The sequence below is a fragment of the Homo sapiens genome, chromosome 9 (assembly GCF_000001405.40).
Source record: "Homo sapiens chromosome 9, GRCh38.p14 Primary Assembly".
NCBI classification, from domain to species: Eukaryota; Metazoa; Chordata; class Mammalia; order Primates; family Hominidae; genus Homo; species Homo sapiens.
Window position 1 is genome coordinate 106,947,549 of NC_000009.12, and position 26,953 is coordinate 106,974,501.

Below are 26,953 nucleotides of genomic sequence, written 5' to 3' on the forward strand. Positions count from 1 at the left end.
TCAATTCCCAAGTGATGAAAAATAATTCTTATTTTTTAAAATTCTACCAATTGCCTTAAATATGTCATCTGCTTTAATATGTCTAATGCATTGGAGGTATAAATGATTAATCTCATTTGAAAGAGAAGGGCACGAGGAGTGAAATGGTGAGTCAGACATCACAAAGCATGTACGTGGTAGAGCTGTTTCATTCACAGGTTTGTCCAATTCCAGAGCCTGTGCCCTTGAACTTTGTGCCTCAGTGGGGTCTAGTAGCAAAAACACATACCCAAGAAATGATCCAGAGTGGTGAAGCCTTGGCTGCTTATATGTCTGTGGGCTCTGGAATCTTCTACAGGAAATGAAAGACAAGTGTTTATTACTTATTGATATTTGGAGCTTAAGTTAACAGATGTACAGATAATATTAAGTTAAAAGACCAGAATAGAATAAAGTGAGAAATTGTATATCTGCATTTGAATGGCTATAACTTTGGATAGGAGAAGGAATTGAGTCATGTAGGGCTTCATGGAAGAGGCAGTACTCAAGCTGGACTTGAAGGGTGAGTGGATGTATGCAGGTGGATGGAAGGAGTATCAGACATGAGCAGAGATACAGGAGAAAGGATCCTGGGACTGCAAAAATCCAGTGTGGCTGGAGCAAAGGATGTGTGGTGAGGTTAGTGGAAGGGTAATTAGTGAAGGAAGGAGAGGTAGAGCCAGACGACAGGAGTACTTAACACTGGGAAGAGGACTTTGGATTTATTAAGAAACAGACTCAATGGGGAAGACTAGCAGCAAGATTCCTTCCTCTCTGGAAGTGCCAGGGTACATTTGAGCTATAAGTGCATTCAGCTAGCATCAATAGGTCTTCAACAAGGAATGTGCAATGAAATCAGTCATGGGTAGTAGTCACCTTCTTTTGAGATGGCTGCATAGAATTTTTACCTTCTGATGACAAAAGTAATACCAACTCGTGACTAACGAACAGCTTTATGGCAATACATAATAAAATGTAAGGGTCACCCATCATGCCAGCCTCTCCCTACCCAGAATAATCTCTATTCACAGTTTGTTGAAGTCATCTAGATATTTGTTCTATGAGTATACAAACATAGGTTGTCATTTAGTTTAGTTTTTTTTTTTTCTTCAAAACTGAACCGTACTACACAAACTATTTTTCTTTCATGTGTTTTTGCTCTCACTATATAGGTTCCATCACCACATGACTTACTATAGCTTTGAAATATAAGGATTCATATCGCAAAAATAATTCCTTTTCAAATAATAAATATTGAGTACTTAAAGGTTTCAAATATATTTTTATGTATAATAAATTATATGTATATTATATTTAAGGTGGGATTCTCAGAGTTATAGAAGGCCTTTGAGATTTTGCCAATCAAAAATTCATTAATTTTATCTTAAGGCTCACTCACCTCCTCAAAAATTACTCAAGTAGAGTCTGTTTCCCCACTACTTACTTGAGACTTAATACATTTACAGTATTGGTGAACAGTTCTTAAAAGACAAAAATCAAGATTACAGACTGCCTAGACTGTTCAGAGTAATGGGCTAGAAATAAGACTTTGTGAAAGGATAAATACAAAATAAGTTGGGTAGCTGATGACCCTTGGCATTTATTTCCATTCCTGGACTTGCCAAATATTCTTATAATTATTAGCTACCTTACCTGTGTCTCCAGCTAAACTGTGTGCTCTCCGAGGTCAGGGACCATTTCCTATTCATTTCTAGAGCCCTAGCACTGGGTAGGCCATTCAATAGATATTTCTTAAATTGTTTTGAATTAGGACAGCAAAAGCAACCGCACACAAGGAAAGCCAAGAGAACAATTTATGTGTGAACAAGCCTGGGAATCTGGAAAAAGCCAATGGAATCTGGCTGTGTGTATAGCAAGATGTGCCATCCCATGTTACTGCACTTTTCATGCATCATTCCCTTGTCCTTGAGTTAACTAACTTCTCCCTTCCTCCCACCCCAGTGGCAACACCATAGCCCTTTCAACTTTCTGCAAATGAAGCAACTAATTCCTTTTTTTCCAAGCAGCCACGGAGACAAGTGGGTACCTTCCTTACTTTCTGCCACCTCTTCAGAGTACTTCTACTTCCTTTGTTTAATGATCCTTTTTCAAATGCCTGCTTCCTGCTTATTTTCTTCCTCTCTTTTGGAGTATTCTTTTGTCTTCCTCTATGAACTCAGTGACTGGCTCACAGCCTTGCTTTCCAATCCAAATGTAATCTTCATGCTCTGGAATTACAATAGACTAGACTCAATGGTAATAACTCAACAGACACTTCAGTCGCCTAAGCTAGGGAAATTTGTCTCCTTCCTGACTGTCCTCCAGCTGCCCACCTGTGGCCAAATTCACCATAACAGCTCCGTCTCCAGCACCTCAAATTTGCCTTTACTCTGACCACTGTGGGTGGATCTCCTTCCCCATCCAACCTAGACCTGACCAGAGGGTTAGCCGTTTCAAAGGGGCTTTCTCCAGCATCCTGGTTTCTCTCGTCCCCTCGTCCTCTGGTTTCCAACTTACCAGACTCCAACCCTGAATAACCTTCACTCCTGCCCTTCCTCTGATGTTAGCCAGTCTTTCTGATTCTAACCTCCATCTTTTCCAATCTGTTTTCCAGGATATCTTTGTTAATCACAAATCAAATTTACTTTTCAAAATAAATTTGAGCTGAGTCAGACTTATCCCTATGTAATGTCAGTTTACACCTAAGTATTTCAAGGTATTTTCTTAAGTGAAAGAGACAGGAATAGAGCCACAACCAATGTGCTAGAAGTTGCAAATAGCTGCAGTCTATCTTACTTGTCCCAAACTAAATGGAGTGAGCAGCTGTGTGGTTAGTAGCTGTGGCAATCACAAATTATTGTCCTTGTGAGTTGTGATTTTATTGTTACTCTGATTTTATAGTATTTTAAAATTTTGCCCATGGGTAAGTTTTTAATTAGGGATACAGAGAAGGAAAGATGAGGAAATTCACATCTACCTTGCATGTAAGCAAGAGTAATGCCATCAATATGTCTATTAGAAGAAACATAATAATTGTCATAACTAAACCACAGGCAGACAGTGAAGTGTAAGTGCAGTTCCCTATTAGCACATTAAAATTGATCAGTTCTGTGTGTTGTTCTGTGGACAATAAAATAAGATCATTTTTGCTAATATGGTTACAGTATACTGTTGCATCTTAGCTATGTTATCTCCATAACGGAAGTCTGGAAAACAATAACTCTTTAAAAAATTAAGTTCAGGCCAGGCGTGGTGGCTCGCACCTGTAATCTCAGCACTTTGGGAGGCCAAGGCAGGCGGATTGCCTGAAGTCAGGAGTTCAAGACCAGCCTGGCCAACATAGTGAAACCCCATCTCTACTAAAAATACAAAAATTAGCCAGGCTTGGTGGCGAGCGCCTGTAATTCCAGCCACTCCGGAGGCTGAGGTGGGAGAATTGCTTGAACCCAGGAGACAGAGGTTGCAGTGAGCCGAGATCACACCACTGCACTCCAGCCTGGGCAACAGAGTGAAACTCCATCTCAAAAAAAAAAAAATTTAAGTTCAAGGTTTAAGTAAAATATTGATAAGATTTGCTTTTTCTGTTTTAAAATGAAAGCTTTTTAGTTACTTTTTGAATAGCTTCATTATTATGTGCCTCTACCCCTATAACTTAACAAAAAGGTACATAGTACTTTTCACTGTACTTCTTTCTCTTCTGATTTTTTGGGGTATTTTCTAAATCACGGCATGCCTAGGAGAGAACGTTGAGTAAATAGATATCATCCACTATGTGTTGCCAAGAGCAGAATAAGAGTTGGAGAACTTGAGGTCGGAGAAGTAATTCTGTGCAAGTGTAGGTTTAAGATTTATTTATTTATTTATTATCTTTTTCCAAATTGAGAGAAAGCAAAAAACAAGGGTAAGAAAGAAGCTTTCAAAACTATACTGTGCTGCACACGTTGGTGGTTGTTTTTATATTAATTATCATAATCCCAATGAACAGAGGTGACTCTACTGGGACTGGCCATATAAAGCCACTGTTAATAAAGTACTGAGAGCAGCCCAGCCGCACAGCACTAGCCCAGGCAGAGCAGCTTTCACTGTGCTCCTGGGCTTCCTGTATCCAAAAGGGGAAGGAGGGTTGTTGACAGCAACGGATCTGCAACATTTGAGGGTACCATAAGCCTGTCCAAGTTCCACCCCAGGCCTTCTTGCTTGCCTCAGCCCCAATCCGGCACTCTCACCCTGGGGAAGCATCCAGATGTTCCATGGAACCTCTTCTCCAAGTCATAACAGTGTTGTGTTTTTTTTTTTTTTTCCAGTGGAATTTTGGAGTCGCGGTGCTGTAGCGGCATCAAGTGTGACTCTTTCGGTGTATTGCTGGGCTCATTTTGATTGAGCACATACCAGGAGGGATTGTTTTCACCCAACTGGAGCTAGTGAACATTAGGGGCAAATGATCTTTTTGAACCCACTTCTCCGTATAGATCATCTTTACTTAATGGTGTACAGATCACACGGGAGATGCTGGAACCATGAGTTTGAGATTTGGCTTGAAAGCTGCTGCAGGCTCAAGTCCAGGAAGTACCATTCACATTGTTGTTAATGAAATGTACAGCCTTAGGTAGAGGTCCTGTCTAGCTCCCTATCACACATGCATGTCCTTAGTTAAAGCATTTACCCTCTCTGAGCCTTGGAGTTTCTAATATGCAAAATAATGATGCCGACTTTATGGGGTTATTTCAAGGATCAAATGAGATAACACAATGGAAGTACTTTCATATTCTAAATTACTGTAGAAATAGTAGCTATTATTAAAATACTATAGTAGAAGCAAATTTGTTTTCAATTTATGATCCTTTTTAATCAACCATAGAATGGGTTTAAGTAAAAAAGGAAAAAATTTCACATCTAGCCTCAAGCTGAATGAAGTTTCCTTACATCATGAGCTTTCTTGGAAGCCTAAGACAGTTCAGTGTTTGGAAGGTGGTGCTTAATCTGGAGCCTTGTTGATATAAATTTATCTGAACTTCAGGGCTTGGTTGGAACCACCCAAATAAGAAACTCCTTAGCACTTGATACTCTAATGGGCTAGTGGAATGCATTGATGAGTCCCAGTGTTAGACATCATTACTATAATTATTACTGACATTAATCGATGATCATTTTTAATTAATGATAACTATCACTTATTGCATATCTACTGATTGAGTACTTTGTAAACATTGTTTCATTTTATTTAAGCCATACAACAATCCCATGAGACAGGAACCTCCATGACTAGCTCCTTGCTGTTTAGGAAGGAGGAAAATAGGCTTAAGCAAGTTAAGTGGTGTGCCCTGGGTCATAGTTAAATCCAGCAGAGTTGAGGTTAGGGGGCACATCAGCCTGACTCCAAAGTCTGTTTACTGTGCCACTGCTTCCCTAAGCCTCAGTTCTTAGATGTACTGTTTTTCCCCAGGCAAATCTTAAAAAGGTTATACATGAACCCCAGGAAAGTGCTCTGTGTTTGAAATATTAAAACCATTCTTGGATGTGACCTTCTGCGATCTTATCTTCCAAATCTCTTGGAAGGAAAAAACCAATAATCCCAACTTCTACTTTCTCACCACTCACTCTTTGCTTTTCGTAAACTGCTAGACTCAGTGTTCTGCCTTCAGCATTTTATTGAAACCACTTTCATGAAGTGATCTAATACGGGCTAACTGCAGTGGCATTTTCTCTGGGAAGGAGTCATTCCTTCTTGCTGTTTACACCTGCTGCCTCCTTGGCTCCCCCTCCCTCTCTCTGGAATTCCTTGCAGCATGACCTTGATCCCTATGACTATAATGAAATAGCTTTCACAAGGATCATCAGTGACTTCAGACAAACAAGGTCACGGCCTCTGCTCTTGCCTCATCCTTCTTTTTTTGTCTGTGGCATTTAAAACTGCTGACCTTCCTCCTGGGGAAATTCTCTTCCCTTGGTTTTGGTCTTGCTATGTGTTTCAGGCTCTCCTCCAGCCTCTCTGATCATGCCTTCCCTTTACCTTGTTTTTGCCATGTTTCTCCTGCTCCCCTTACATGTACTTGGTTCTCGTCCTCAGTTCTCTTTGCACTCTCTCTCTCTCTTTACAGATATATGAAGTCAACTTGCCCTCTTCTGATGCCACCAATACTTCCAGTGCTAACCTCTCATGTTAAGTCTGAGACCCTCTGTTCTAACTGCTCCCTACCTTCTCCACCTGCGGGTCTCATTCAACCTTCATTTCAAAGGTTCTAAAATGGAACTCATTAATTTCCTACTAAACTTGTCCCTTTGCCAGAGCCCTTGGGACCTAGCTAATATCCTCTGCCACTCCAGGTCTTGTTGGACCCACGTTCCATCAACCAGTCATTTGTTGTCTGCTTAGTCCTGATGTTTATATTGCCTTAATTCTTCTCACATCCATCTCCCTCCTTCCCATCCTCATCTCTTACCTAAGCCATTAATTACCATGTTTATCCCACCTGCAAAGTCCTCCATTCATTCTATTCTAAGCAAGGTTAAGAGTTCAAATCATCCTCCTATTCAGAAGTCTTTAACAGCTCTGCATGGCCTGTGTATTAGTCCGTTTTCACATTGCTATAAAGAACTACCTGAGACTGCGTAATTTATAAAGAAAAGAGGTTTAATTGACTCACGGTTCTACATGGCTAGGGAGGCCTCAGGAAACTTATAATCAAGGTGGAAGGCAAAGGGGGAGCAAGGCACATCTTATATGGTGGCAGGAGAGAGAAAGAGAGTGAGGGGGGGATGTGCCATACTTCTAAACCATCAGATCTTGTGATAACTCACTTACTGTCACAAGAATAGCATGGAGGAAACTGTCCCCATGATCCAGTCACCTCCCACAAGGTCCCTTCCTTGACACGTGGGGATTACAATTAGAGATGAGATTTGGGTGGGGACACAGAACCAAACCATATCAGCCTGTTTAAAAGAGGAAAAAAAAAAAAAACTCAGTCAATATTCTCCATGTTTATACCCAGCCTTTTCTCTTTCCATCAGCTGCCTCATTCTCCCTATATTCTAGCCTAACTGGAATGAGCATCTCTCTCCTCATCCTTTTGCCTTTGTTCATGTTATGTCCCCTTTCCTTCATCTCCACATGCCCAGGTACTACCTGTCTTTCAAAGCCACTTGCAAATTCCTTCATTTCTGTGATGCAACAGTGATCTCCCGAGATGTGAGTCAACTCTTCCTCTGAAATCCCTCAATGCTGTGCCCTACCTCTCTTAAGAACATGTAGTTCAGTCTACTGACTCCATAATATTACCAGGAGGGAGCTCTTTAGGAGCAGGGTTTTTGTTATTTTTTTATTCTGAACAATGAATATAAGGCTGCTTCCTTCCTAGAGTAGATGTCCTGTAAATGTAAAATGAAAATTTGTTGTGTCCTGTAAATAGTCATGGTAGTAAAGTAGTAAATCAAGATTTGAATGCTTTTCTGACTCCAGAGCCCCACTGTCTTCTGGCCACGCTACTAACAACAGATAATGGACTCATGGGCATTTGTTTGATTGTTTGAGCACTCACTCATCTTAGTGTGTGTTGCTGTAATCTCCCCTAACAACCTGAGAGCTCTTGAAATATGAGATCTGATTATCTTTGTATCTATCAGGTATCTAACATACAGGAATACCTTGGAGATGTTGCGGGTTTGGTTCCAGACCACCTCAGTAAAGCAAATATTGCAATATAAAAGTCATACAAATCTTTTGGTTTCCCAGTACACATAAAAGTCATGTTTACACTATACTGTAGTTTACTAAGTATACAATAGCATTATGTCTAAAAAATGTACATATCTTAATTAAAAAATGATTTATTGCTAAAAAATGCTAATGATTATCTGAGCTTTCAGTGACTCATAATCTCTTTGCTAATGAAGGATGTTTGCCTTGATGTTGGTGGCTGCTGACTGATCAGGGTGGTGGTTGCTGAGGATTGGGAGTAGCTGTGTCAGTTTCTTAAAGTAAAACAACAATGAAGTTTGCCACATTGATTGACTCTTCCTTTCACAAAAGTTTTATCTGCAGCATGCAGTGCTGTTGCAGTGCTATTTGATAGCATTTTACCCACAGTAGAACTTCCTTCAAAATTAGAGTCAATATTCTCAAACCCTGCCACTACTTTATCAGCTAAGTTTATGAAATATGCTAAATCCTTTGTTGTCATTTCAACAGTGTTCGCAACATCTTCATCAAAAGTAGTCTTCACCTCAAGAAACCACTTTCTTTGTTCCTCTATAAAAAGCAACTCCTTATCTTTGCAAGTTTTATCATGAGATTTTATCATGAGAATCAGTCACCTCTCCAGGCTCTACTTCTAATTCTGGTTCTCTTGGTGTTTGTACCACACCTGCAGTTACTTCCTTCACCACAGTCTTAAACCCCTCAAAGTCATCCATGAGAGTTGGAATCAACTTCTTCGACACTCCTGCTAATGTTGATATTTTGACGTCCTCCCATGAATCACAGATGTTCTTAATGTCATCTAGAATGGTGATTCCTTTCGAAAAGTGTTTTATTTTACTTTGCCTAAGTCAGAAGAATTCATCGGAAGAATCACTATCTATGGCAACTGAATCCTTATTACCTGTATTTCTTAAATAGTAACTCTTGAAATGGAAATTACTCCTTGATCCATGGGCTACAGAGTGGATATTGTGTTAGCAGGCATGAAAACAACATTAATCTCCTTGTATATCTTCATCAGAGCTCTAGGGTGATGAAGTTCATTGCCAATGAGTAGTAACATTTTGAAAGGAATCTTTTTTATCTGAGTTGTAAGTCCCAACAGTGAGCTTCAAATATTTAGTAAACCATGCTGTAAACAGATGTGCTATCATCCAGGCTTTGTTGTTCCATTTATAGAGCACAGAGTACAATTAGCATAATTTTAAAGGATTTTTTGAATGGGAAAAGCACTGCTGTCAACATAAAGTCACCAGCTGCATTAGTCTGTACCAAGAGTGTCAGCCTGTCCTTCGGAGCTTTGAAGCCAGTTATTAACTTCCCCTTAGCTGTGAAAGTCCTAGATGGAATCTTCTTCCAATAAAAGTCTGTGGGGCCTACATTGAAAATCTGTTGCTTAGTGGAGCCAGCTTCATCCCTTCTCTTAGCTATATCTTCTGGATAATCTGCTGCAGCTTCTACGTCAGCACTTGCTGCTTCACCTTGCACTTTTCTGCTTTGAAGACAGCTTCTTTTCTGAAACCTTATAAACCAACCTCTGCTAGCTTCAGACATTTCTTCTCCAGCTCTGTCACCTCTCTTAGCCTTCATAGAATTGAAGATAATGAGGGCCTTGCTTTGGATTAGGCTTTGGCTTAAGAGAATGTCGTGGCTGATTTGATCTTCTATCCAGGCTACTACAACTTTCTCCATAATCAGCAATAAGGATGTTTTGTTTTCTTATTATTCATGTGTTCACTGGAGTAGCACTTTTAATTTTCCTCAAGAACTTTTCCTTTGCATTCACAACTTGACTAACTGTTTGGCACAAGAGGCCTGGTTTTCATCGTGTCTCAGCTTTCAGCATGCCTTCCTCACTAAGCTTAATCATTCCTAGCTTTTGATTTAAGGCGAGAGACGTGTGACTTTTTCTTTCACTTGAACACTTAGAGGCCATTCTACTAGGGTTAGTCATTGGCCTAATTTCAATATTGTCGTGGCTCAGGGAATAGGGAGGTCCAAGGAGAGGGAAGCAGATGGGGGAAATGGCTGGTCGGTAGAGCAGTCAGAACACACACATTTATTGATTAAGTTTGCATCTTACATAGGCATGGTTCATGACACCACAAAACAGTTAAAATATTAACATCAAAGATCACACATCACCGTAACAGAAATTATAATAACATTTGAAATATTACAGAATATTGCATGACACGGACACAGGAAATGAGTACCTGTTGCTGGAAAAATGGTGTCAATAGACTTATTCAAGTTAAACCTTCAACTTGGAAAAAATGTAATATTTTGTAGTGCAATAAAGCATATGCCTGTATAGTACATATAATATATATCATGAGTAATCCAACCATTTATAAAAAGCTAAGACATCCAGAAGAATATTGCATCACTTTGCAAAATAATATTTTGATCACAGTGTTGTCTAAATGAATCTAAGAAATATGTATTAAGCGTCTGAGTTGACAAATGGATGTTAAAACTAAGAGTAAAATGCAGATCTAGAAATATTTTGGATGTTGCTGAGAGTGTGTATTCAGGAAATAGAGCAAAGGGTGGCTGATGATTACACACTGTGGTTTGCAGCACATGGATAAAGCACTTGGTCACCTGTTCTACATTATTATTAATTTTTGCACATGAAGGGTTGGTAGGGAGCAGAGAAGGTAGCCTACTAAGTTCCTTTCTTTCCTTCCCATAGGTAGAGCCATAGTCCATTTGAGATGTGAATGTACTGAGTTCAATAGAAACAGTTAGATGAACAGTTCAGATGAACAATTCTAACCTGCTAGTAAAATCCCGAGAAGAAAAGATGGTGTTTTCTACTTAACAAAACAAAATGTGGAATCGTGGGGTGCTGATGATATTCCATCATCACTAGGGAATGTGCTGCCAGTTGGTTTTTCTCACAGTGGGAATGCATTTCTACCAAGCCTCCTTTCCCATCTGAGAGGTCAGGACTGTGGGTACAATTTACAGACACAGTAAAGGTAAAACTGGGAGGCCACTATCTCACCTGCTCCCTGCTTAAAGCCCTTCCGTGGCTGTCTACGTTGCCTTCAGAATAAATTCTGAGCTTAGCATGGAAAGCTGTTCATTGGGCCCTGCATTTCTCACTGGGATCATTCCTCACCACTTCTTCCCTTGCACTGTAGCTACACTGAATACCCTGTCTTTAAAAGGGTCCTACTATCTCACACTTTAGCCCTTGCTATTCCTTCTTCCTGGAATCCCTTTCTCCACTTATTTTCTCTTCAAATTATTTTGTAGATCTATAGTGGGAAGAAAGCACCTCTCAGCACAGAGCCTAAGATTTCTCAAAATGAGTAGTAAGCAAACACCCCTAAAGAGTAACCCATACTTAGCTGTGCCAGAAGTTCCTAAGGAAGCTGAGATGCCCTTATCAATCATGAAATAAAATCCAAACATCCATGCACACTAAGAAATTCGCGATAACATTCCTCGTGGGTAGCAGGGAGAACCAGACAGTCAACCAATACATCCACTGTAGATGACGTGGCAAGAAGTGCTATCAAGAGAAAGAAAGCCATGGTGAAGGGTAGAAAGGATGGGAGTTGGAGTGTCAGGTAAGGTGGTTGGGGAGGGCATCATTGATGACAGGAATGATTGAGGCCAAGCCTATCAATTGGATGCCAAGAACCTTGCTCAAAGCTGCAGGTAATCTTGAAGAATATTGAAAAGGAAATAGACCCCAGAATCATTGCCAGGAAAGCCTGTCCAGTTTGGGAATTGAATTTGCCCTGAGATGACTTTTTGAAGCAAGTTGATTTGTGACCATTCCATGTGCATTGTTAACTAACAAAATAGGAGTGAATCATTCTGTCTGTGGTATTACTCAGGTTGAGCCCTGCCTTTGAGCTGAATCCAAGTCCCACAATCAATCCCCTCCCCACTCAGCCATCTCCCCCTACAAAATCACTGGACAAGTTGCTGCCATAAGTAGCAGTGCATTTGGCTGTGCCAGAACTGGTCAGTCAAAAAGTAGCCTCCAAGCAGCTACTATGTGCCTAGAGCTGGGATGAATACTACATATTTTACAGCTGTGTCAGAGATCCCTGTTCCACTTGATTCTGCAGTCCAGTAAAGGAGTCCAAATGCTTCCATCCATAGAACACACTCCATAAACACTTACTTGGTGCAGAATTGATATAATGCAGACTTCATTGCTGTGGAACTGAGGCCCTTGGAAGCACTCACTATGTGCCAGTCACTGGACTTCACACATTGGTCTTATATAATCTCCAGAGCACCCTATGAAGTTGCCAATGTTATCTTCTCCACTTGACAAATGAGGACACAGAGGTGTGTTGGGTTAAAAGTTGCTGCAGACCTAGAAGGAGGCTCCTCAACATACTCTGGGAGCTGAAAAGTTGTCTGTTTTCCAGTTGTTGCTGGGTTTTGCCATCTATATAATGGGAAGTAATAATTCTCATAAGGTCATGGTGAAGGGCAACAAGAGACTTTACAAAAAACATCTGACACAGATGCTAGACAGAGCTGGCTAAGACAGTGAAAGGTGAACCTGGATCTCACTACCTGATCCCTCCAGCTTCTTGGAAATTTAATACCCTACACCTGAATCCAGCATCACTGGGCAGCATTTCTGTGGGGTGAGTTTGGAGTGGGTGGAGGAGCTATCCTAAGGGAACAACCTACTGCTTTAACGGTGATTAAAAATATAGCTTAACCTAGAGCGAGGATTTTCTTACACTGCATGGAAATAGGTGAAAATAAAAGAAAAAAAGGGTTAAGAAACCCACTGGGTTTGTTGGCTCAGAGACTCCCGCTCGGGGACAATTTTAGAAGAGCTCTGTGCTTTGAAATGTGGCTGCTCATTCTTGTTCTTGATCAACCATAGCCTTTCTCACCTGATTTCCGTGTAGCATCACTTAGAGCTCTACGTGTATCTAAATATATATATGCTTATACCCAGATGTGCTCTTTCCTCTTGATTATCGAATCTTTTAAGAAATCTCCACAGTTGTTCCCTCCGGGCTCTCACAGCACTGTTCATAGCAAGCCATCAATTGTGACCAACTCCTTGAAGTCAGTAGGCATCTTCCCTCCAGTCAGGTCTTGAGGAGGAAGCACTGTGGCCTTGCCCACGGCCTGTGAGCTCTAAATACCATCTGAGGTTGCTCACAAGCTCTCTACGGTTGAGGCCAAGTCATTTATATAAAGAGGCTTTTGTGCTCAACACTTTTTGTTGGATTTTTTCAGTGTGGTAAAGACATCTATATGATCTAAACGAACAGCAGGAAACCTTACTTCCTCATCACACAATTCAAAAGAGTCACAGGTGAATTATGCATTCGGTATTGTGAGAGCTTCTCAATTAACAATGGCAGATGCCACCCAGAGTTTCCTCCAAAAAACATTAGAAAAAGGATCCTTCACCACACATTCATTTCCCTACAAGTTTCCTGCCTGTTTCAAGGAGGGTTTTTAAGAACACACACTTTGAATTACAAATATCATTTAATGAAGAAGGAATAGCTACAGTGGCAGAAAAAACAAACACACACATTTTTGGGACTGGGCATTCAGGATCCCCAAGTTATGCTTCTGTTTCTTCATTGGTTACCTGGGCAACATAAACCCATATCTGCTTTTCTGAGCCACTACAAGTCTTTAGGCAAAATGGATAGTCTGTATGCTACATATCTGGGATGAGTGCATTTCTAATGGAGGAAAATAGGTAAAACAGTGTATACAGTGAAAATATAGTTCTAAACACCTGAAGGTAATCCATGAATACCTTCTCACAGATTGCAAAGGGCTCTATTTGTATGGTCTCAGGTGTTGATTGTTTATCAAAAAGCTATGATGTATTTAAATACATGGTACCCATTACACCTGAGCATCTCACAAACATCGATGCCTACTGATGGGTGAAAAAAATGAGGGATAGAGAGCTGCATACTGAATAATCTCAAGTGGCTTCCAGATGTGCTGATAGCATGTGTTTTGAGTTTTGGCTTATAGCTGATTTAGGGGCAAGACTAGAAATTAATGCCTTTGGTTTCTTGAGACAGCCATGGATTCTGAATTACATTGCATTCAAGTTCTTAAATGTTCAGAAGCCATTGTCCGTGTAATTAAAAAAGACCCAGGCTTATTTCAGCAAACATGGTTCAGTGTTTCAGTGGGAAGACTCTTAAACCTCAGTATCCAAAGAGAGAGTAGCATTTGGTCAGTTGCATTTTCTTTTTAAATCTGGGTTTTCCAGAACAGTATTTTCAGTTTGTACTCTTTTTTTTTTTGGATGTTTGTAGCATGTTTGTTGAGCACTTGCTTTAGGCCAGCCACTGGACTAAGTTCTGGGGTACATCGACTTAAAACAATTATAGATAGATGGATGGATGCACACATGGATACATGAATGGATAGATGGATGGATGGCCTAATTTCAAAGAGATCATAGTCTGGTAGGGGTAAAATAAATTAACCTTAATACAGCATGATATGTAGTAGTAGGGGAGTCTAAGGGGGGAATTTAATATGTGTATCTAGAAGGGTCAAGGAAAATCTTCGTGGTGATGGCAGATTTGGACTGAGTTCAGTTTTGAAAGATGAGTAAGAGTTTGTCAGACTGAAAAGTATAAGAAGGATATTGCAAGAATATACAACAATGCAGGGGGAAAAGGCATAAAAAGTGAATATTAGAAGCCTTGTATGTGACTGGCATTAAGCACAGCATGGAAACAGTGTGGGCAAGGGAGTGAGGATCGGCCTGGAAAGATGAAGGAGAGTGTGAGCCCCATGGTTCAGAGTTTGGGCTTTTTTCTGTAAGAAAGTGAGTGTCATGATCACATTTGCATTTTAGAAAAGAAAGGAATCATAGGGGGAGAAGAAACTGGAAAATGGAATGCCAGTTAGGAACATGTTGCAGTAGAAGTTCACACAGCAACCACGAGGGCCTGAACAAAAGCCATGGCAGTGGGCTAGTGAGTGGATCACAGAGATAGAGTTTCTCAGGAGGCTGAACCAACAGAGCTTTTGACTCATTGAATGTGTGGAATGAAAGAGAGAAATGAATCAAGGATTTATTCTGATTTCATTGACTGGGTGAATGAATGGTGATGTCATTGACAAAAAATATAGAAAGACAAATGAATATGTTCCCAAGTATACGATCTAGTGAATTGAAAAGTCCAGGAATCCTCCTTGGCCTCAGGTCAGACCTGCCTGGATTCCTCAAAAATATAAAGAAAAAACATGAGGCTTCACACAAAATAAGGTCTTTGAGAAACCTTTTCAGTGAATGTAAGTATGATGGGAAACTAGATCTCAAAAAAGAGAAAGCTTGCCCATTTTTTGCCATGTTTGTATCATTTTGCAGGCTAATATTTTGTTTTGTTTTGTTTTCTCAATCTATTCCCTGATCATATTTCAAGGTTTTGTTTTTACTCATCAGAATGACAGGAAGTTTTCAGTGTGTGTTTCCTTCAAGTTTGGCCTCAACCTTATTTTCAGGATTAGGCGTTTGTTTTTCCGTTTGCCTCCATGACAACGGAGTCCAGAATTCCTATATATAGTCATCCAGCATCCATTGTCCCCCTGGCCATTGTATCATAATCTTGTGCGTCCAGGCCAGAGAGCTCCACTGATGACAGTAGACAAGGAGGTGCCAGAGTCCTTGGCCTGGAGATTTTCAAGGCATAATCAAAAGAAGGAAATAAAATAATGTGACTGCCTTTAGAGGCGTATGTTCCCCCTTAGACACTATGGAATGGAAATGGTTTGTATTCTAAAGCTTAGTTTCGAATATAATTTTCTTTTGGAATAGCCCATAGATAAAGAACATTTTTGAGGCTCTTCAGAGGAAATACTTGGAAAGTTGCATTGGTGATTTGTGGTTTTTATTGTTTCTCTGGATACCAAATTCTGCTCAGTGTTAACAGCACTTGAGAAACAGGTATTTTGAGAATGGGAATTAAATCAAGGTACAAAGGAATTCGGATAGAACCGAGAACAATTTTTTAAATCAGCAGACTTCTTGAGTCTGAGAATCATCTTGATAGCTCTGTGTTACACACTGTTTTAATAACTTAAAACAATATATATGTATCTGGACTTAACAAAGTTGTCCACAAGTTTAATCCAGGAAACATTTTCTTAAGTACCTTTCCAGGCACTTCTAAGCAATTGAGATACATCAGCGAAAAAGACAGCATGAACCCTTGCTCCTGTGGAGCTGACATTACCTGCTTGGTTGTCATTTCAGATTGACAGGAACAATGCCTTGTGTGCCTGTATAGCACGGCTGTCCACAAATTCAATCTAATGGATATTTTCTTAAGTACCATCATTAAGTATTTATGGTGATAATTAAAGTTTATGAAGTTTGTAAGGAACCTAACAGATGATCTTGTCTAAAGGCACCTAAAAAAATTACTGCAGTAAAAACCATATAACATGGGAATTTACCCTCTTAACAAATTTCTAAGTATATAGGATAGTATTGTTAACTGTATACACATTGTTATACAGCAGATCTCTAGAACTCTTTCATCTTACACGACTGAAACTCTATATCCATAGAACAACAACTCTCCACTTCCTTCTACCCACAGCCCCTGGCAACCACCATTCTACTGTCTGTCTGTATGGGTTTGACTGCTCTAGGTGCCTCATGGAAGTGGCATCGTGCAGTATTTGTCCCTCTGTGACTGGCTTTAGCATATAACAAGATTTCCTTCTTTTTTAAGGCTAAATAATATTCGTGTGTGTGTGTGTGTGTGTGTGTGTGTGTGTGTTATACACCACATTTTCTCTCATTCACATGTTGATGAACACTTAGGTTGCTTCTACCTCCTGGCTATTGTAACTAATGCTGTAGTGAACATGGGAGTACATATCTCTTCAAGATCTTAATTTCAGTTCTTTTGGATAAATATCCAGTAGTGGGATTGCTTGATCATACGATAGTTCTGTTTTTAATTTTTTGAGGAAATTCTATGCTATTTTCCGTGAGACTGTACCATTTTGCATTCCAAACAGCAGCACACAAGGGTTCCAGTTTCTCCACAGCCTTGCCAGCACTTACTTTCTTTTTTTGATAATCACCATCCTAACTAGGGAATCCTTTTCAAAATGCCTTAAGCATTTTAATTTCATTTAAAATGTAAATACATGTATTCACCAGTATTGTGATACAGGGTAAAGCCTATGTATTTGAATCTCGTTCCTTTGATTGAAGTTCCCTGTTTTCTCCCTTGTGTAAACCACACTCACCTACACTGCGTTGTGTGTTACTTCCAGTTTCCATTTCTTTGAAGTGGAATGAGAACTTAGACATTTGTGAAACAGTCTTAGAGCAGAGTCCTTCTAGATTTTTATGTTCTCAATCTTTTATAGTTGGTCTTGCCAAAATGTAACTTAACAGTAATTTTTTTTTAGCAACTTGACTTTATCAAGTCTTTTCAAAGCATTCAACATAGCTTTCATAGAAATAACACTTTTATACCTATATTTTATCTTATAGAATATTAATTAAATTGAATGAGCTCAGTAGCAAATATAACTGGTACAAAAAAGTTTTAGGAGCAAATGAAACTGATGATTCTTGTTAGCATTAGGTCCAGTGCTAGAAGCAGAAATGGATGGACCTGCTAAAGGATGGTGTACAGCATCAGCCTAGATACCACTGTTGCCATGGTTCTTCTTTGGTTAGAATGTTTTAAGGTCAGAGACATTGATCTAGCCAAGTTTGCTTAAGGAGGACTTGTAAATGTAATATGAGGTATAATGAGATCAGGGCAAGAATCACAATGTGTATGTATTGGCAAAGCATAGAGGAAAGCAAAGAGTTCTGTTCGGATTGCTGGGAAAAATCTTCACAGAGGGTGTGACATTTCAGCTGAGTTTTGAAGGATGGGTAAGAATTTGCCAGGGAAAAAGAAGAGAAAGCACACTGGTGGCGTTGATTAAGGATCCCCAAGGATGCAATACGTAGAATTTGCAAGAAATTGGAAGCTAGCTGGAAGTGAGGCTGGAGACATGGGCTGAGACGAGACTGAAGAGCTTTACTCTTGAGCAATAGGGCACACTCATATCATAATCATATATGAGTAATGATATGTATGCTGGCTGAACTGGAATTGATCTTAGAAGAAGAAACACCAGGTAGGAGACTTCAAGAGTTGCCCATATGTAATAGGAGGACCTCAATGAACAAGGGGTAGGGAAGGCAGGACTGAGGAGGAAAATGAATGGAGGCAGGTCATGAGGCATGTCTCTGATGCGTTATACCTGTTTAAATGTGCTGCCACAGGGAAGGGAGAAATCTGAACCTTTGAAGGAAGAATCTCACAATTTGAGCTCAAACAAAGTGGTGGGCCATTTACCAACATTCAGAACGCAGAAGGAGATGTTTAGGGAAAGATGGTGTCAGTTCTCAATGTGGTGAGTTTCAGGAGTCCATCAGACACAAAGCTTGAATAGTCTTTCAGCTTTAGATGAAGACTCAGATGATCACAAAGCTCATTAGGTTTCCCATTGCAGAATTCTGTTTCTGGTCACTACAGATTCCTGGATCACTGTCGCATACATGAAAATACTGAAACTATTTTTGTCCTTTGCCTAAGTTTATTAGCAGTTGTATAATAGAAGTTGCATGGCATCCCAAAAGTTTCCTGGCTATTAAATAAAGTACATTTTTAGCTGCCCTCTTACCTTTGTTTGTGTACCTTTCTCAAATTTTCTTCACTAGAAATAATGGTCTATACGTCTAGCTTATTTGGGTTCTCCCTCAACCTCCTCACTTTGGGCATTTACAATATCTTAAGTTATCCACAGATAATATTCTGTTTCTAATGGCCCATGCTACCAACCATTAGTTGCTAAATAGTCTGCTTTTCAGAAGAAAATTACAATCCATGTATTATTTTGAACTTCCTATGCTATTTTAGAACTTGGCGATTTTAAATTGTCCCTTACACAACCTACCCCACCCTCTGATGTACATGTTTTTCTGTTCAGACTCATCATTTCTTTACCCTAGGGAAATTAAGTCATTTTTTTTCATTGTGATAATAATGTAGTTGTTGAATTTCTGTTTAGTTTCTCCAAAATGTACGACTTAAGGTGGAGGTGTAGTGAGTTGAACGTTTAGGTAGCTGCGTGTCTAGTGTTGATTTCATTAATTAGCACACTAATTAATACTAGTTATATTTATTAATGGACACTCATAGTTCTCTTGACATCCCCTCTCCATCTCTCTCACTCCCACATTCTGTGAGGCACAAAGTGCTGCTGATTTTTCCTTCCTTCCCCTGCCTGTTTATAAATACCTCTATTAAAACATTTTGTTTGCATTGTATCACGATCAATTATTTACATCTTTGTCTGAGAAAGTGAGTTGCTTGAGGTCAAGGCTCAAGTCTTACTGTCCCAGAACAGGGTCTCCTATTTACTTAAATGCTCAGTAAATATTTGCTGAATGAATGGGTGTAATTGAATCATTTGCCCCTTGGCCACCTCTAAAATTTGCTTGCCTAAAATTCCTTGTCTTTTATTTTTTCTTGGTACTTGATTCACACTGACCAACAAGCCTGTCTTCCAAGTCTGCACAAAAATCTAGCTCAAATATAATTAAATGTACTCGCTGGCACCAAGGTACTTCTGTTCCCTTTCACCTTCACTCATATTCTCTATGCAGGGCTGCAGAAAATTGAGAATTGATCCTCTGGTATAGCTTCCTCTTTGTATCACTTAGAGCATGCAAGGGGGCTGTCCTCTGCGGCTCCTACAATTTGCTGCCCAATTGACTCTTATTCTTCCTTGTGTCTTCCTTAAACTTACAATAGCTGAACTCTCCTGTTACTGTTCATTTGTTCTCTTTGCCTCTTTTATTCCTTCAATCAGTGGAGTAAGTTTACTAGACATGGAGAGGCCTGTATTTTCATAAGTCAACTGCTCAACTGTCTCCCCTAATAAATATGAGTTTCTAGAAGGCATCTCTCATGTCTTCTTTGACTTTGGATCCCCAGAGCCAGCACGTGACCTGGCACTAGCACAATGTTAACTAAATGTTGTGGAATTGGAACTGTGAATACTCAAGAAAGTCTCATTCTCTCAGGCTTATGGTCCATTTATTTGTCGTTTGCCTTTATAAAGTCAAATTTCTTGTGATTGTTTCATTTTTTTCTCTAAGTTTTGGAGAAAAAAAGGAAAAAAATCAAAACAACTCAAACTGTTATTCTAGAGAGCTGGAATTAGCAAAAAAAAAAGTCCAATTTCTCCAGGAACATGAAAAATGAGAGGGTTAGGACATCCCATTTAGAATTCAGCCCTTACCTGGTTTGAAATCCTGAGCTGTTCAAGAGCCACGAAAAAGCACCCATCTCTCATTTGCATTTGTGTATCTTTCTTTTCCCAGCCAAACCCCACTTGAGGAATGTTAGAGTGTTATTATTTGAGGACAATTTATCAAGCATCTAACTAAAGCATGACATTTAGACAGATAGGTTTCCAGTTCTGGGTATTTGCAGGGCTTATCTTCACAACATGCTTCTAGAAATGTCTCCTGTGTGGTCCCTTATTTTGTTTATATAAGCATTTTGAAATTTCAGATATTCTTTCTCTTTTTGAGTCTTGCTTTATTTTTTTTCATAATGCTTCAAAATGTTAGTGTTTTCTTCCCTATTCATTTTAGTGTTATTTTCTGTCTATTCTATTATCATTTGCATCTGTTCTAATGTTATTTTCTTAACTATTTCAACCTTTCTATCACTTTCTCTCTTTCCTCTCTACTATGTGTTTATTGCTGAAGCAACGTTCATGTTCTTTTTGGCTCCTCTGATTTGTATCACAGAACCCTAGAGGTCACCATTGAGAACAGATGCCTAAGACACAAGACTCAGACTTTATAATCAGACAGGTCTTTGTTCAAATCCTACCTCTGCTTCTTCGTGTCTATGTGACCCGTCATCCTCAGCTTCAGCTACCTCACTGGTAAAATTGAGATGTAAACCCAATTAGACCGCACACCATAGTTGTGAGAATTAATTGCTGGCTTCTGAATAAATTCTAAATCCTATAGGCACTGTGACCATCATTGCTAAAATTCTAATTTGATCCTGATTTTAATTCATTTCTTATGATAGCTTACAAACTGGAGAACTCCATATAACTTAATTAAATTTATTTTATAACTACAATTATACATTATAATTTCATTTCTAAAACTTCACATATAATTAAAGTCACAAGTCAGAGAATAAAACTCTTTTCTCAGACTGTATGTGTCAGGGTTGGTTGGTTGGTTGGTTGGTTGGTTGGGAATGTATGGTGATGCTAAGCCATGACCTGCTTTTAAAGGTGGACCACCTTAGTCTTTGCTGTTGGTTCCATTGTAGATACCACTGGCCATACAGGTGTTAAAGATCTAACTTGTGTGAGCCGCAGTTGGGTGCAGAACTTCCCACTGAATTCACATCCATGTGATTCAGCTGCTGTATTTCCCCATGACCAGAAGTCTGACTCTCCCAACACAAGGATATTTTTAACCTTTCTTTCCTTAAGCTCAAAATGAAAGAAAATAGTCTTAATGATGATTTTTAACTTATGTGACATGCCCTTCGCAGCTAACAATCTGTTTGCCTTTCTAACCTGGGCACAGAACGACCTCCTTCCTGCTCTTCAGGCCATGCTTCATGAACAAACAGGAATTTTATGTAGCTTAGCAAGTGGGCTTTTTAAAGATCGGTGGAATGATACACACTCATGTCTTTATCACTTTAGTGCCCAAAGTGCTAAAATCCTACATTATTCACAAATTCCACGTGAGCGAGAGCGAAATTGAGAATGTTGGCAGCAGAAAGGAAAGTAAAGCCCTAAGAAAATCCAAAAAGTTGTAACCTGGGCATTATTACAAATGTGTCCTAAATGATGGGATTTGCTTGTTTTTGTCAATAAACCTGTCCATCTGATTTTAACCAGGAGGAAAAAAAAAATTTTATGACATGGACGCATTAGCTGTTCCTTTTGCACTGCCATTTGAGAAGGGCAATGAGCCTCTGTTTCTTGGAATGCTTTTCCCGTGACTTCTTGCATTTTTATTTCTTCAGGTTTTCCATACTGTATAAATACCAGAGTTAAAATATAGAATTTGTTTTTTGAGATGGATGAAATAATATGCAATAGGCCCTAGAGACAAGATAAAAATGTGTTAACTAAAAGAGATTGGGGTCCTTGGAGGGGGTCTGCCTGACAGATCAGTGCATGTGTTGAGTTGGGGGTGGATGGGAGGTCTGGGAGTGCATTCATCTGGCTTATCATCTGGCTAGGAGCCGTTCATTTCTTTATAGTTTTGCTAGAAAGGGACTGGAGATGTCAGGTACCTGGTATCTGAGATGACTACCAGCATTCATACTAATCTGGGAGATCCAGGGATGTGCCTTGTTATGGAGGGGACTGTGACTCCTTTAAGACCTAGACCATCACTTGGGAGATTTGTTTTGGTCTCTGGGTGGATTGTGGATGGTAGACAGATCACAGGCCAGCAGGACCTGGCTTTGGCCTTGCTGGTTATAGAATTTCTATTCTGCAGAGCTAAGAGTGCAAACTAGGACCAACATTACCAAGAGGACAGAAGCTATCTGGGGATCCTGGCTGGCAGTGCTCAACTTACAGCTCAAGCCTGTGATAACAGGAGAGGTGGAGTGTGTTTTGTGCTTCATTGTGCATGTGTTTCAAGCAGAAACTAGACTTGAGGGCTTAAATAGAAAACATCTCAAACAATCCATGAAATGGTAAACAAACCTGCTATTGAATGAGAAGAATGAAAAGTTGACAATTGCATTATTGTGATCCAGAGTGGGTTCATCAGCTAGGGTAGAGGAATAAAGAAAAAGGAGATAAAAGAACTGGGTAAAATGAATTCAGTTGTCATTCCTTTCTTCCTTTGTCTTCCATTTACACCTGGTAATGAACCTATGGAGGCTTGGAGACATTGTTCAGGTTTCCTTTTGTTTTATTTTTGTGTGTGTGGCAGGTTTGTTTACAATTTCCAAAGGGGTTTTTCTCAATCTTGAGGAATATGAATTGAGGAGGCGGGGAGGAGAACAAGAAGGGGAAGATATTTGAGTGTTTTGCAGACAGGCGGTGGCCCAGCAATCAGGGAGGCTGCTCTGCTTTTGTTTTCCTGTTCGAAGAGGCTGACGGGATGGATGGTGCTGGTTTCATCAAATATGGGTTTTAGAGAATTCCTCCATGTCCTGCCTTAGGGAATTATGCTTTGGAAAATTAAGTGTCCATCAAATCAGGAGGAGGCTTGTACAGTTTCTATCCCCTTTCCCCCCTGCTTTTTGAAAGGCTTAAGAAAAGAGCCCTTTGTTTTCTTTTCAAGGAAAGTTACACTGAAATTCATCTGTGTGGTATTCATGGACTTCATTTGTGTCATTCATAGGCAGCTGTAGGTTATATAGGACAATGTTTTTGAATTTCTAACCTCCACATTGCAAGCAGCATGTTGGGAAAAGGTTCAAGACCTTTTACTTTTCCTCTCCCCCAACCCCTTTATTTATTTATTTTTACTTTTTTTTCTCTTCTTTTTTTTTAATTCAAAGAAGAAACGCTGAGATTTCCCCTCCTCCCTCCTAGATCAGATTTCTCCACCGCATGCCATTGAAGCTTCTCGGGGTTAAGATTTGTGCCTGTCATTTCCGACATTTTCCTCAGAATCGCAAACTTTAAAATACCTTTCAGGGAAACTTGTTTGGAATTTCATTTTAATGGGATTTATGAATAAATCTCCATCTTAATGCTGACTAAGCTTTAAACATCCATTCCAGGAGAACGCTATTGGATTTTTATATTTTAAAATTTAAATCACTTGAGTGTGAAGGCATAAAACATTTTTATATTTGTGTGAGTGCCTTGTGCTTGAGCATTTCTGTTAAAGACTGATTTTTTTTTTAAATTTGGTTGCTTGAATAAATCTGGGCTGCAAAGGAGGAGATGTTGCATCATGTCCTTTCCTTTCTCGTGTAGACGCCTGTGTACATTATGCAGGTTTATTTTCTCACCTACAGGGAAGGGTATTCTGTGGCAACCTGTTGCCATGCTGCGATTTCCTTTAAAAAAAAAAACAACAACAACAAAATAAAACAAAAAAACGGTTTACTTTCTTCCTACACTTTGAAACCTTTAACCTCAAAATTTTATTTTTAAATACCATGAGCCCTCAAAGTCAGATTAAAAGAGGTGATAGTTCCTCCCGGCATGCATTCCCCAAATCTGTGTTGTAGAATGTAAATGAAGATAAAAGATGGAATCATAATCATCCCTCTTAAAAAAAAAAAAAAAAGAACTCTCAAAACTAACATTGGTCAAAAGATGCAAACATTCCGTTATAAAATTAGTAAGTTCTAGGGATCCAATGTGCAGCATAGTGACTATAATTTATAATACTTGAAATTTGTGTGGTGTACTTGAAATTTGCTGGGGGAGTAGGTCTTAGGTGTGTTCCCTGCACATTACAAATGGTAACTGTGAGGTGATGGATACGTTCATTAAATTGATTGTGGTCATCATTTCACAACAGATACATATATCAAATCATCATCTTGTACACCTTAAGTATAAACAATTTCCGTTTGTCAATTATACCTTAGTAAAGCTGGAGGGTAAAAAGAAACCTGATGTCAGGGGTTTTCAAGCATCGATCACCTACTGTGTTCTCTGTGCCCCGTGTCATTTTTCCCGTCTCTTCACAGACTCATCATATTCAGAGCCCCCAGATGTTCAGCAGCAGTTGAACCACTATCAGTCAGCTGCCCTGGCAAGGAACAACAGCCGTGTTAGCCCTGTGCCTCTTTCTGGGGCTGCTGCTGGCACTGAGCAGAAAACTGAAGCCGTGCTTCACTGCGAATTCTGTGAATTCTCCTCCGGCTACATCCAGAGCATCAGGCGTCATTACCGGGACAAGCATGGTGGGAAGAAGCTTTTCAAGTGCAAAGACTGCTCCTTTTACACAGGCTTTAAGTAAGTGACGTAATGAACAGCTATGGAAAACAAGGCGGCCGCCCCTGCTCCACCCCTCACTGCAGGCTTCCCTTACACTTTCCTACTTGGAGCTTATGGGAGGCCCTGCCCATGTGATGATGTAGGGGTTGGGTCCAGGCTTCATGGAAGGAGGGTAGTTTCAGAAGACTGCTTTGGGATTTGGGAAGGGATGAAGAGCTATATCAGAACAAATGAGTTTTAAAATTGGAGCAAATGGGCTCTCAAGTAGTGTAAGATTGAAGCAAATGATTTCCTCCCATGCGTGGAGTGGTGTTTCCCTTCAGAGAACTGTCTCCTCTCCTTTTTTTAGCTTTGGAAAAAAAAGTATGTTCTTGGAAGCAAAGTCAAAGTCAAGAGAAAACATCCGGCAGTAGTGTCTTCCCTGCTCCCCTGATAGAAAATTCTTTAATTCTTAAGATCGTAGTATTGAAAGACACATAGAGAATCAAGACCCTGGCACTTCCAACACTACACTTGAGCAATCATAGGGAGATTGCTCCAGTCTAGAAAAAGAGAATCCATAGTCACCCTTGCCCCTGTGGATGACAGAATTGATGGACTCAATTATTAAGAATGGAATGCTTCCTATGATGTAATCTAAGCTTCTGCATTTGAATCTCATCCTGTGAGATAGCGTTTAGGTTAGTGGTTACAAGTGTAGAGTGTGGAGCCTGACTACCTGGGTGATTCTGGACAAGTCACTAAGACACTATCTGTGTCCCTATTTTGTTAACCTATAAAATAAAGATAATAATAGTACCTACATCATAGGGCTCTTGTGAGCAATAAATGAACCAGTGTATCTTGAAGTACTTAGAATAGTGCCTGGCACAAAGCAAACACTAATAAGTGTAATAATATCATAGATAGAAAGCTATTATAATAATATGACATTAGATATCATAGATAAAAAGCTATTATTTTCTGTTCCTATTGTAATCAGGATCTGAGCCTTAGACTACTTCAATACATGCTTCACACCGAGAGGCTGTGGAAATTAGGCTTCATGTCCAAAGAAAAAGAAGAATTGGAAGAAGAAGTCTCTTTCCCACCAGCATCGTAGTAGCTGGGATTTGATGGAACGTGTGTTCTATCTCTATTAATTTGCTCCAGTTACTTTTCAGATAAATACATTTGTGATTTGGTGCTGAGAGAAGGCTAGAGGACCCCAGAGGGCAAGGGCCGACAGACAGGCAGACACTTTCTCCAGAGAGCAACACTCGGGTTCACAAGAAAGGGTCCCTGCCCATTAAAGTCTTGGCTTTATCGATTTTAATGAGACATTTAAGGCTTTGCAAATTTTGAAGATTTGAAAAGGATGGAGGAAGAGGCAGCAGTACCATTCCACCTTTAAGCTGGTACAACACCACTTAGTTTACCTAATCATCAATCATGATGATTGACTTCCTGGACAACTTGTCCTCCCCCCCTTACCTGTGAAGAATTATACAGGCAGTTTCTAAGTCAACCTAGCTTTAAAATAGTCTCTCTCCTCCCAAGCATGATGAAAAATAGTTCCTTTTTTGGGATTTTGTTTTGATACTCTTAACAGACAATTTTTAAGAATAAGGTGTTTGGGGAATTTGTTTCTTTTCAAACTAAGCTCTGAACCCAGCCCAGGGCACAGTTTCCAGAAAGAAGTTACTACCATTTGACAGTGTTCAGATTCGGTTGAGTGACCAAGTTTCTGGGTGGTCAACAAACATGATGAACAGATTTTTTTTTAGCCCCACAAGCAGGAGAGCCGCACTTGGACATATATAACGGGTTTGCCAGCAGGAAATGTGAAAATGCAATGATCCCTGGTTACACGCATCACCTCTCCTCCCAAACTCTCTCCTAGATCTGCTTTTACTATGCACGTGGAAGCTGGGCACTCAGCAGTTCCCGAGGAGGGCCCCAAAGATCTTCGCTGTCCTCTCTGCCTCTATCACACCAAATACAAGCGCAACATGATTGACCACATCGTGCTGCACCGAGGTAACCTTTCTAACTTGGTTTTCTTGGATGCAGCGGGGGGCAGGCAGCAGAGATGGCCTTCTAGGGATGCTCTCTCAGAGTGGCAGTAGCACCTGTGCCTTGTTCCTCACCTTATCTTCAGGCAAGAAACCACAGTGATAACCACAGTGACAGCCAAAAGGGCAAAAACACCTTCCTGCTGGGAGTATTTCCTCCACCTGGAGGGAGGCAAAGGTGATGGATTCTGCA

The 26,953-nt window shown here is 39.9% G+C and overlaps 1 protein-coding gene across 36 annotated transcripts in view; it reads left to right on the forward strand.

Annotated features, from left to right (window-relative positions):
* Positions 1-26,953, forward strand: part of ZNF462 (zinc finger protein 462) — a 153,477-nt gene that overhangs the window by 87,391 nt on the left and 39,133 nt on the right. For all 36 annotated transcript variants that reach the window (XM_047423662.1, XM_047423672.1, XM_047423680.1 and 33 more), the window contains 2 exons: positions 24,457-24,724; positions 26,589-26,725. In XM_047423662.1, the coding sequence (XP_047279618.1) occupies positions 24,457-24,724; positions 26,589-26,725 (405 nt within the window). The remainder of the gene's footprint in view (positions 1-24,456; positions 24,725-26,588; positions 26,726-26,953) is intronic.